At 42.5% G+C, this 12,823-nt stretch overlaps 1 protein-coding gene across 3 annotated transcripts in view; it reads left to right on the top strand.

Moving 5' to 3' along the window:
• The window catches only part of ASTN2 (astrotactin 2), a 991,946-nt gene that overhangs the window by 265,629 nt on the left and 713,494 nt on the right, over positions 1-12,823 (top strand). For 2 of the 3 annotated variants that reach the window (NM_001365069.1, NM_001365068.1), the window contains exon 4: positions 7,951-8,103. The exons of the other annotated variant lie outside the window; for it this stretch is intronic. In NM_001365069.1, the coding sequence (NP_001351998.1) occupies positions 7,951-8,103 (153 nt within the window). The remainder of the gene's footprint in view (positions 1-7,950; positions 8,104-12,823) is intronic. 3 annotated transcript variants of the gene reach the window in all.

Raw genomic sequence — 12,823 nt, 5'->3', positions numbered from 1 at the left:
ACACACACACACAAACACACACAACACCCTATTAGTTATATGTATTCTCTATCCTTCTATTTCCTTTCATCTGTCTATCTAACCAGAGATTTATTTTAAGAAACTGGTTCAGGCCAGGTGTAGTGGCTCATGCCTGTAATCCCAGCACTTTGAGAGGCTGAGGCAGGTGGATCACGAGGTCAAGAGTTCGAGACCAGCCCGGCCAACATGGTGAAACCCTGTCTCTACTAAAAATACAAAAATTAGCCGGACATGGTGGTACATGCCTATAATCCCAGCTACTCGGGAGTCTGAGGCACGAGAATCACTTGAACCTGGGAGGCAGTGGTTGCAGTGAGCTGAGATCATGCCATTGCACTCCAGCTTGGGCAATGGAGTGAGACTCCGTCTCAAAAAAAATAAAAATAAAAATAAATTTAAAATTAAAAAAAAAAGAAAGAAACTGGTTCATGTCATTGTGGAGGCTGGCAAGTTCCAGATCTGTAAGGTAGGCCAGCAAGCTAAAGACCCAAGGAAGAGTTGATATTGCGGCTCAAGTCCAAAGGTAGCATATTCCTCTAACTCAGAGAGGTTAGTCTTTCTTCCATCAAGGTGTTCACTTGAGTGGATGAGGCTCATGCACAGTATGGAGAATGTTCTGCTTTACTCCAATTTTATTGATTCAAATGTTTATGTCATCTAAAAAAATATAGATAAAAAATCTTCACAGATATGTCTAGAATAATGTTTGGCCAAATACCTGGATATCATGGTTTAGTAAATTGGCGCACAAAATTGACTATCAGATCTGAGGTTAAAATTATCCTAAAACTTGGGAAAGCAGGGAGGAGTAGTGGAATAGGAGATTTGAGTGCTAGACCTTGGTCTGCTGCTAACTTTATGATGAGTTTATCTCTTGGTGCCTCTATTTTCACATTTGAATGAAAGGGGGAATGTATAATTTCTAAGAAAGTTTGCAAAGTGGCTATTTTATGACACCAAAAATTTCAAAATGAATGAGAAAGAATGAGTTAAATGAAATGTCATGAAGCTGACAGGTTAGTGAGAGAAAGATGAGTAATGACTACTCTTTCTTGAGCATTTACTATGTTCTAGAAGCTCTGTTAGACATTTTTTGTACATAATTACATTTAATCGTCCCAAGAACCCTGCAGACATTTACAGAGGAGGATACCAGGGGTTGCAAAAGTGAAAGAAGTAACTCAAGGCCATGCACATGGAGAGTTGATACTGGAACTCGAGTGAGATTTCTCACCTGCACTAGGCAATATGGTCAATGTCCATTTGCTTCTTGGTTCTCTTAGTACAGTTCTGCAGTGAGACATGGGTCAACCCTGGAACCTCCATGGTGGACAGTCTTGAGCAAGGGTCCACTGGCATAACAGGCTAATCTCCAATCAAGTCAAGCCACTCACTGGTTTCAGGCAGCACCAGATTTCCTAGGGCTCTTTGCCTAGATGATCTGAAGAGGAGCTAAGCTATCAGAGCCACCATCCAGGCCCAGAAATGTCACATCCAAACTCCAAGATTAACATACCCATCTCCAGCCAACCAGAGAGGGAGTACTTATAGAGTGCAGCAACAGATAAGGCCAGAGCATTGGAGTCACCATAACCTGAGTCCAAATCCCAGTTCTATCGTCCCTAAGCTGCATGACCTGGAAAAACCATGTAACATTTCTGAGTCTTGCTATCCTCATCTCTGAACAGAAATTATTAATACTTAACTTTCCAGGTTGTTAGGGGGAACAAGTGAGAAACCATAAGGAAATACCAGGCTCCCTACCTAGCAAAAAGTTGGTGCTCAAGAAATGTGAATTTTCTTATGTCACAGACTGATGATGTCTGAAAAAATTGAAGAGGGCGAGCAAAGTGATACTGGAACTTCAACTCAAACCCATATGCGTTTCATCGGTGGAACGTCCTGGGTGGTTGCGTGGGGGAAGAGAACGGTGGATAACGGGGGTGTGTGTGTGTGTGTGTGTGTGTGTTTTGAGTCAGAGTCTCACTCTTTCACCCAGACTGGAGTGCAATGGCGTGATCTCAGCTCACTGCAACCTCCACCTCCCAGGTTCAAGCGATTCTCTGCCTCAGCTACCTGAATATCTGGGATTACAGGCCTGCATCAAACCCAGCTAATTTTTGCATTTTAAATAGAGATGGGGTTTCATCATGTTGGCCAGGCTTGTCTTGAGGATGACAGTTTAAATATACAGTTTAAGTGTACAGTTTTTGAGTATCAGTGTAGACATAATGTGTAGTGCCTCTTCTCCAGGGTAGAAGCTAAGGCTTGCCTGGTATCTGGAAACCCATACAACACTTATGCCTTTGCAAAATGACTCAGGGTCCACCCCCTTTTATCCCTTATTTTTAAAAATAATATTAATGAACACATAATAATTGTACAGACTTATGGGGTACGGTATGATATTTTGATATATGCTCATAATGTGCAATGATCAAATTAGGGTAATTAGCATATCCATCACCTCAAAGCTTGGTCATTTCTTTGAGTTAGGAACATTCAAAATCCTCTCTTCTAGCTATTTGAAAAAATACAATAAATTATTGTTTACTACAGTCACCCTACAGCACTATAGAACACTAGAACTTAGTCCTTCTATCCTTTTAATTTTTTTTCTCATAGAACAGGTGGTATTACATTACATGAGTAAATTCTTTAATGGTAATCTGTGGGATTTTGGTGCACTCATTGCCCGAGCGGTATACACTGAACCCAGTTTGTAGTCTTGTATCCCTCACCATGAACTTCTATGCCTTCTTCTTTTTCTTGTTTTCTTTTCCATGTCTCCTCGCCTGTCCTTTTTAGTCCTTCCCTTCTGTGTTCTGCCTCTCTGCTTCTTCCCACTCATCTTAGACCCCCTCTTTCTTGTCTTCTCTTCTTTATTACTGAGCACAGTTATCTCTTTTATTCTTGTTTTTTTTTTTTTTTTCTCTCCTCTTCCATCCTGTCTTTTCCTTTCCTGTCCTCTCTCTCTAGCTTGGCTTGGGGACCAGGGCTTTCTTCCTCAGGCCCCAGTGGTTTATTACCATTAAGCTTGACAATCTCTTATATGTCAATTAGAAAGAGGCAGTGTTCCCCTCCTCTCCCTCCCTTTCCTGGGCCTGCCGCGATGCTCAGATCAAGCAGCATCTGTTGCATTCATCCAGGCGATGGGTGAGCATTTTGCCGCTCTGGGGAGTCAGAGCTCAGCGGGTACCAGGAGGTAATGTGGCTTGTTTGGACAACTTGATATACTGATATCGATAGAGCTGCTGAATGGGGTCGGGAGGGATCAGGGATAGGGGGAGTTGTATGCAGGATGAAATTGGCCATGGAGAGGTTTGCAAAGCACTTCCCCCTCTAAGTCTGCCTGGGCTCTTGGCACTGTCACTGAGGCAAGAGCAGCCAAACAGATGGATGGGATTTGCTACAGTGGGGATTAGAAACCCTTGCAGCTCAGGGGATCACCCCTTCCTTCTCTGTGTGCCTTCTTTTCCCAGCCACTCAAATCTGTATCAGCTTAGAAGAAAGAAGACAGAAATTGCAAAATGGAAAGAGGCTGACCTTTAGGAATTGCTGAATGTCAGAGCCATGAAAAAAAAGAGAGGGAAGCTGAATGATATATCAGTCAAGGTCCCAGCTAGACAAAGAACACATCTTCAAATGGGATTTTTTTAAAAAGAATTCAATGAAGTGGCTATTTATAGAGGTGTAGGCAAAGTAAAAAGAATCAACATAGGAATTTCAAGGTACCAGGACAAGAATGTCAGGAAGCCACTACTGATTCCTAGAACTGAAAAGGCAGGGAGACATGGTTTTATTGGACCCTGTGAGAACTGGGACTGTGGAAAAGGGACACTGGGCAGAAAGCTGTAATTGTTGAGAATCTCAGTCTCTGTCAGAAACATGGTACTGAAACAGGAAAGGAACAAGGAAAGAAATACCTTCAAATTCCTCCCATATCTTTCTGGGGCATCCCACGGGCCAAACCCAACTAGTAGCCATCTAACAAGGAGCGGGTGACACAGCCCAGAGGGTGAAGGGTGGATCTGGGAGTGTAAATGGAGAACAGCCAGCACAAGCTAGGAATGAGTACAGGTTCTGCTGCCTCTGCTCTGCCAGCACAGAAGCTCATGTTCTCAGCCACTACCCACATTCACTGTCTACCTTTTCCAAGGAATGCGGGTATTGAGTCTCCAGAGCGTCCAGCTCTCTCCTGTGCATGTGTGATCCACATAACTCACTGTCTACCCAGCATCTCCACTTAGATGTCTCAAAGACATTCTGAGGTTTCCATATAGAAAAACTCCCTATCAAGTACTATGCTTATTACCTGGGTGATAAAATACTCTGCACACCAACCTCCCATGACACACAGTTTACCTACGTAACAAACCTGTACTTGTACCCCTGAGTCTAAAATAAAAGTTTTTAAAAAAAAAGAGCCAGGCGTAGTGGGTCATGCCTGTAATCCCAACACTTTGAGAGGCTGAGGCAGGCCAATCACTTGTGGTCAGGAGTTTGAGACCAGCCTGGCCAACATAATGAAACCCCACCTCTACTAAAAATCCTATATATAGTATAGGCATGGTGGTGCATGCCTATAATCCCAGCTACTCGGGAGGCTGGGGCATAAGAATTGCTTGAACCCAGGAGGCAGAGGTTACAGTGAGCTGAGATCACGCCACTGCACTCCAGCCTGGGTGACAGAGCGAGACTCCATCTCAAAAAAAAAAAAAAAAAAAAAAAAAAAAAAAAAAAAAAACTAGTGTTCACTCCTCTCAAATGTCATCTCTTACAGTGTTCCTCCTCTTACTGAGGAACTGTCATCCGTATCTGTGCAAGCCAGGAGACCCAGGAGTCATCCTTAATCCCTCCTTTTCCCTTATCAATCATTCTCTACCTTCTGAGCAAAAGAAATTCAAATCTCATAATGTTTTATGGAAGTTTATGAATTTGCATTGGGCTGCATTCAAAGCTGTCCTGGGCTGCCTGTGGCCCCTGGGCCGCAGGTTGGACAAGCTTGCCTTAGAGAATAACATTCAAACATCATGTCCATGCTCAAAATGTTTCAGATTTTGGAACATTTCGGATTTCAGATTTTCGGATTAGGGAAGCTTAACCTGTAGACTGGGTGCCTTAAACGAGAGAAATTTATTTTCTCGTACTTCTGGAGGCTGAAAAGTCAAGATCAAGGTGCTAGCATGTTCGAGTTCTGGTGAGGGCCCTCTTCCTGGCCTGCAGATGCCACCCCTCACTGTGTCCTCTCACAGCCTTCCCTCAGTCTGTGTCCATAGAAAGAGAGTGGGGTCTTTCTTTCTTACCCTGTTTATAAGGCCACCTATCCTATCAGATTGGGATCCCACTCTTATGACTTCATCTAACCTTAATTACCTGCTAAAACCCTCACCTCCAAATACAGTCACACTGGGAGTTAAGGCTCCAACATATAAATTGGGGAAGGAGGGAACACAATTCAATCCGTGGCTGACTGTGTCTGGAGATAGGATCTTTGGGAGGTAATTAAAGTTAAATGAGGTCATAAGAAGGGGCCCTGATCTGATTGAACTTTGGCCTTATCAAAAGAGGAAGGGAGAGGTTTTTTTTTTCTCTCTCTCTTTCTCTCTCTCTTTCCCTGCTCCCCCACCGAGTGAGGACACAGGGAGGAGAAGGTGGCCATCTGTAAGCCAGGAAGAGAAATCTCACCAAAACCATGGCACCCTGATGTTGGACTTTCAGCCTCCATAACTGTGAAAAAAATAAATGTCTGTTGTTTAAGACAACCAGACTATGATATTTTGTTATGGTAGCCCAAGCTAAGCTATGTCTTTGGTTCTCAGCATTGGTATGTAATGTTTTTTTCTGTAAATTCTGTTGAATGAATGAATCAATGAATAAGTGGAGAAATGAATGAATGAATGAATATTGACAGATCCTGTGTGGGTCATTCCCTTCGAGGATTCCAAACTGTGGCTTATTCTGGACTTTTGACCAAAGTATAGCCCATCTATTGGGCAAAGCACTTTTCTCTCTGGGTTTACGGAATCAAAACTTGGCATGACATTGCTTCTCAGAGTCATACTGCAGGCTATAGCTGAAGGATTCTTCATCCCAGGCTTGAAGAAGGGACCCCATGTCTGGAATCTTCTTGGTTTCTTCAAGTACACCTAATTAAGATATCTGTGGAGAGAGATAGCAAGGGAGACAGATGAGGAAACCAATGCCACCACATGATTCATTTGTATTGTCAATTGTCTTTTTACCTTAGCAATCATACCTTTTCCCTATAACCCTCAAGATGGGACTTCTCACAGAACCCAATACCAGAACAAGCCCTCTAGGTCTGACTTACTCTGCAGACACATCTGTCTAACCTGATAAGCTTCCCTGAGAAAACAGGAGCGCCTTAGAAATGGGTACTGGGTTGTTCAGGAGCCTTCTTTGTCTAGTCTGATGAAGCCCCTTCAAAGAAACAGAAATTGTTGGCACATCCCATCTCTTGGCATCAGACAGCAGGTAGCTCAAACTGAAGAAGAAATTTCCCAGCCTCTGGAGACACAGATGGAGGGAGGGATGAGTTTGAAGATTTCAAAGTCAGGGCTGTCTTTGGGAATTTCTCAGAACAAAGGCACTGAGGCTATTCAGCAATTTTTCTTTTCTTCTTTTTGGTTTTCTCTTCTTGCCTTTTATGTTGCCTCCTTCCTTCTCAAGCTTTTCTGTTATTTTTTTCCTTTTATCTTCCAACTTTTTCTCTCTGCCCTTCTGACCTTACTTTCTCCATGTACTGAACTTTCTACCAGTTTCAACTTTGAAACTTTTTTGGAAATGTGGCTACTAACAATTCATTGGAAGGTATTGGTGCAAACGGAATATTGGACAAGGTGTTAGAAGGCTTGACTCTGCCATTTCCTATCTTGGAGTAAGACATATATTGTGTTTTGGGGCTTCAACATCCCCTCAATAAAATGGGTATATGTTGCTAAGTGATCGACATATCCACAGTACTGTGGTTGTGTCTCCTAAGATATTGTGTCACCTTCGCTGCCACTGCCCTGGTTCAGACCACCATTGCCTTTGACTGGCTACTTCCAAAGCCTCAGTCCAGGCCTCCTTTCCTCCTTCAGTTTGCATTCTCCATACTTTAGTTAGTGATTGTTTTCAAAGTGATTTAATTTGAACACATAGATTTTCTGTTTAAAACCTTTTGGTGATACCTTTTGCCATTAGGATAAAATTTATACTCCTAAATGTGGCCTACCAGATGTCTTTATCACTCCAATCTCATCTCCCATAAGCCTCCTCTTTGCAAGCTCTCTTGTAACTACCATAAATTACTTTCCAATGCTCAAGCATCCGTGCTCCTTCTCGTTTCAGATCATCACACATGCTTCTCCTTCCATCCAGGACGCTGTCTTCTCTGCTCTGTCCAACCTCACCCTGATCCTGCTTTCTTTACTAATTCTTACTCATCTTTAAGGTCTCATCCTAAATATTGCCTCCTTCTGGAAGCCTATTTTGATTCTCAGATGGGTGTGATGACCCTTTTCAGTGATCCTTTGGAATTTTGTACTCTTCTATTGCAAAAATATTGCACAATGTTAGAATTGTCTGGATATGTCTCCTACTGAACTAAGAATTACTTGAATAATGAATTGTGTCTCACATTTCACGACCAAGCCCTCTAGTCTCAAGGGCCTAGAGCAGTACCTGGAACGTAGTAAATGTTGAATACATAAGTATGTAATCCAACAGATACATCTGCAGTTAGACTGCAAGGTTTTGATTCTATATCTTCAATGGGTCAGGGAGGGAGTTTCAAGGAATTAGGGTGGCCAGGTCTAGTGCTCTAGGGGCTGAAGGTGGGCTCAAGCCCTAACTTCAGCCCCAGTGCTCTAGGTGCTGAGGGTGGGCTCAAGCCCTAACCTCAGCCCCATTGCTACCTTATAGCAGCAGCTGAGGCGACTCAGGAGACAGTGGAGTCCCTGATGCAGAAGTTCAAGGAGAGTTTCCGCGCTAACACGCCCATCGAGATCGGTCAGCTGCAACCACCCCTGCGCAGCACATCGGCAGGGAAGAGGAAGCGGAGGAGCAAGTCTCGAGGTAGGCCCTCCTGGCACATCTGGCCAGGAAGTCAGAAGGTTGTCCTCTGATTCCAAAGATGCTAGGGAGATCTGTGCATTCTTCCCTTGCTTCCCTGTGCTCATAAAACTTGTGCCACTTTCTCCCTGATAAATCCCCTTGGAGGCTGCAGACCTATGCTCCCTACACCCAGAGCTAACCTCTCTGAGCCCCAGGTGCCTCAACTGAGAATGAGAATGGATAGTATAAATTTTACAGTGATTGAGATTAGCAACTATATATGGAAAGTGTGTAGCACCAGGACCTCTGCAAAGTAGATGTTCTTTAAGTTGTTGCCGGTCAGAGAGTACAAAGTGGCAGAACATTCTAGTAGGAGACATCCTCAGTCTGGGAGCCAGAAACAGGGGTCTGCGCCTACTTTTTAGCAGGCTGAATAACAGAATGATCAAGAGTGGTATTGTAAATTAGATAGAATTAATTCAACTTTTGTTTCTGCTGCTACCTAGCTATGTCACTCAGGGCAAATCACTCTACTTCTCCAAGCCACTCCTGTCTCACAGGGTTGTAAGAATAACTCAGCACAGTGCCTAACCCAGCATTTATTAAAAAGCAGATATTTTCTTCCTGCTCCTTTTCCTCTGCTGCTGCTTCTTCTCCTTCTCCTTCTCCTTCTCTTCTCTTCTCTCCTCCCCTCCTCCTCCTTTTCCTCCTCCTCTTCCTCCTCCTCCTCTTTCTCCTTCTACATCTCTTCCTCCTTCATCTTCATCTCCTCCTACTTCTCTTCCTCCTCCTCCTTCTCTTCATCCCTTCTTTCTTCTTCTACCATCTATGTGACTTCGTATATGAAGGAAATCAACTTGTCACTGCTTAATTTCCAAACCATTTTTTTTTCTATCTACTCAGTAGTCTCTAGCTGAGTAGATAGAAAAACTAGTAGTCTCCTCTTCTTGCCTCTCACTTCTCCATTTCCTGTAACTTGGCTCTGATCAGGTCATCCCCCTTTTCCCACAGCTTCAGTGGTTATCTAGCACCTTCACACATGTTCAGGCTATGAACATGACACTCAAAGCCACACAGAGCTCTATTCTCCACTGTCTTTCCTAGATTGTTGTGCTCTGTCCTCAGTGCTGTTTCCCATGCCATGCTCTCTGCATGAAACCACCTCTCTGGCCCCTAAGGGTTATTGACTCTTAACTTATTCCAAGAAACAGCTTAAATGATATATGCATCTTATGTCATTTGATCCTCACAGCAACCCTATGAAGCAGGTACAGTGGTAATTCCCATTTTACAGATAATTTCACTAAGGTACAAACAGCTATTGTAATCTGTCTGAGGGGACATTCTAGTAAGTGGTGGGGCCAGGGAGAACCTGGCAGTCTGAGTCTCAAACCTTTTAACTTAACGACTATGTACTATTATGTTGGTGCTATTACTTTTGCACCAACCTGATACACTAATGAAATTCTACCTGTCTTTTCAAGCTTAACATGCATGGCACATTTCTATGAAGACGTTGTTGATTGTCACAGTCACAATTCACTGAATCCTCCCAGCTTTCCTTTATACATGTATTAAGCACTAGATTCATTTTTGTGTGATATCATTGTCTTTTGTCTGGCTCTTTCCTTAGCTAGACAGAGAGTTATTTGAAGGTAGGGATTGTCTTATTATTTTACATTCCTGGCCTAAATCAGTGCCTGACACATAGTAGATGTTTGCTATCTGTTGAGAGGATGTCTAATTCTTAATCTTGTAAAATCTTGAATCCTGTAAAAAACCAAGCTCTACATGTTAAGCTGTCAGATCACAAATTGAGGCAGAAGAAAATGATGGAATTCGTTTTTGGAACTCATATGGGAAACCCCAGGTTTAAACCATTTTGTAGTGATACAGAGCAGTCACCTTAAAGTCAGACAGGTCTGAGTGCTAATCCCAGCCCAAGTCAGTTTTAACTTGCATGACTTTGGAAGTATCATTGGTTCTCCCTGAACTTCAGTTTCCTCTTCTGTAAAATGAGGATGCCAAGCCCTACATCAGAAGATTATTGTGAAGACCTGATAAAAGGCTGAATGTAGACCACCTTGGAAAGTTCAGATGGCATGCATCAGGGAATGAATACATGCAATCTTATGTTTGTTCTGGGTAAGGCATTTAGGGTTACTTGAAATTTCGTATAGCTTTACCTATTCATCTTTACTTCTGTATCATTCACCAGAAATCCCCCTCCTAAGTCCTCTCCACACATACATATTCCATAAACACTCTTGACTCCAAGTCTATAGCCTTTCCTCCCTTCATTACCAACCTGAATTCATTTTTTAACATCACATTCTAAACATTTTTATGTCAATGAATTTTTCAAAAATATTATTTTTATGCATCATAATTTTCTTAACTAAGCCCCTACTATTAGGCATTTGGGCTGCTCCTAATATTTCATCATGATAAACAATGTTACATAGAAAGTATTTTTGCATAAAACTTGCCACTTACTTTAAAATGTTTCCCCTCTTAGAGAAGAATTTCATAGTCAGATTATTAATAAAAGTCTGTTTTAAGTTAATTTACAAGTTAGATGGGGTCTCAGAAAACTATGCATGAAGAAATTTATTTGTATCTCTTCCATATCTGTCCTTCCTCTTTGTCACCATCATGACCACTGTCATTTATTAACTGCTCCTTACAACTATACTCTCCTTGCATTCAGTCTCCTCAAAACTACCAAAGCAATCTTTTAGAAAGATAAACCAGAGAAAGCCCCTCCCCTGCTTAAAATCCTTTGACAGTTTTCTGTTATTCTTAGACTATGATCCAAGCTCTGCACCTTGGCTTGCGGATCTGGCTCTGGCTCCTGCCCTCTTTTCGAACATCATTTGCTCTGCACTTCCTTGTGCTCCAGCCAAACTGGCTTCCTTCACGTTTCACCAACACAGCAAACGGTTCCTTCTTTAGCATCTGAGAACTTGTTCCTCCTTCTCCTTGCCATGCCTCTTTCTTTCCCCCAGCTGCTCTCCTAGCCAGCCCCTTCTCGCCTTTCAAATGTCAGCTCCTAAAAACCAACTTCCATGACTACCCAATCTACAGTTTTGCTCCTTTCAGTCCCCAACCTGCTACTATCTCTTACGTCACCCTCCTTTTTTAACTTCTTCCACAGTAGTAGTTCAGACTAAAATTTTAAATTTTTGCTTGTCTACTATCCTCCTCTCTAAAATATAAGATTCATATTTATAAATCTAACACATAGAAATGGCTTAATAAATATTAGTTGAGTAAATGAGCGTATTAACATCAAAGATCACTGGAAAATGGCTCAGCTTTATAGCTCTCATATTGATGGTGCAAGAGGAATCTGTGATAAACCAAATCCTCCTGGTACCAACGCCCAGAGAATTCTATTTCCCCCTTAGACTCACTGACAAGTAGCACAGTAAATGTGCTCAAGTGGATGCTATTAAAGCAATTTCCAAAACAGCTTAATCACAGTATGCTTGTGATTTTGCTGCTACCATGGGATACAATTTCTGCAGGAGAAGAGTAAGGACAGTATATGTCAGCCCTATACTTCCAAACTTACCCAAGACAGCCCATCAAGATTTCCTTGGACAAAAGAATTTCATGATTAAAAAAAAAAAAGTTTGGAAATTCTCCACCCTCCCTCTTTCTCTTGAAGATTCTTGAATGAATCTTAGTCTATTAAAAACTCTGAGAAGTCCTGCAGTACAGAAAGCTAGGCTGCTTTGTTTAACTCAATGTATTGATACTATGTTGACTGCAAACTCTTATTTCTCCCATTGGAACATTTATTAATGACTTGCTGAACAGAAGCATCTATAGGAACAGAATTTTGGAAATGCTCCATTAGCCTCCAAAATCCCAAATAGGATGGTCTGAATCCTCTGTCTTTCACTGTTTCTGCCCTCTCCTGCCATTGAGGTTGCCGTGGGCTGCCTGGTCCAGATTGGGAGCACCTGCCCTCTTTCTGCTTCCTTAGGCCTCATCCCCGGGCCACGGTGCCCACTAGTTTCCAGAAGATGGAATGGGTAGCCGAGAACCAGTGCCATGGAATTGAGCACATGGTTAAAAGCAGCTCCAAGGTATTTTTGTAGCTATGCCTTCTTCCTGAGAGGCCTGGTGGAGGCTGAAGTGCATCATTCTTAGCCAGACAGAGGAAGGATAGTGGAGGTTTGAACTTCTGACTTCATGTTAGTGCTGGGGTTTTATGAGGCTGCTATTAAGGAGCCACTCCCCAGCATCTTATGGGCAGTATAAAGGACAGTGGCATTCAAATAAAGCAGAGGAAGATTTCTTTGGATGTACAGAAGAAATTCCATAGGTTTATTTAGTTTAGGTAGCGGTTTTTGAAAGCGGGACTTTGTGTTTGAAATTTAATTCCACCATTGACTAACTAAATGCTCTTAAGCTAATTAATAAGAGCTCTGTTTTCCCTTCTGGAAATAGTGCTAATAATACCAACATCACATGTGGGTTGTGAATTAATACCCAAGAGATGCTTAGCCCAGTGCCTGTCCCACGTTCAACCCTCAATAAGGAATAGCTAGTACAATCACTGTCATCCAAGTCCTGCCCATTGGCCTGCAGCGTCTCATAAATCCATCTTCCCCTTCCTGAGCCACTGCCTCTAGCTTGGTTGAGGTCTCATTGTCCCTCATCCAGATTCCTGCAGCAGCGTTGGCACCGATAAATGCATGCTCTACCCTGACAGCTGGGTGATCATTTG

Source organism: Homo sapiens, chromosome 9 (assembly GCF_000001405.40).
Source record: "Homo sapiens chromosome 9, GRCh38.p14 Primary Assembly".
NCBI classification, from domain to species: domain Eukaryota; kingdom Metazoa; phylum Chordata; class Mammalia; order Primates; family Hominidae; genus Homo; species Homo sapiens.
The sequence above is the reverse complement of the archived record's forward strand: the minus strand, read 5'-3'. Positions and strand labels throughout refer to the sequence as shown.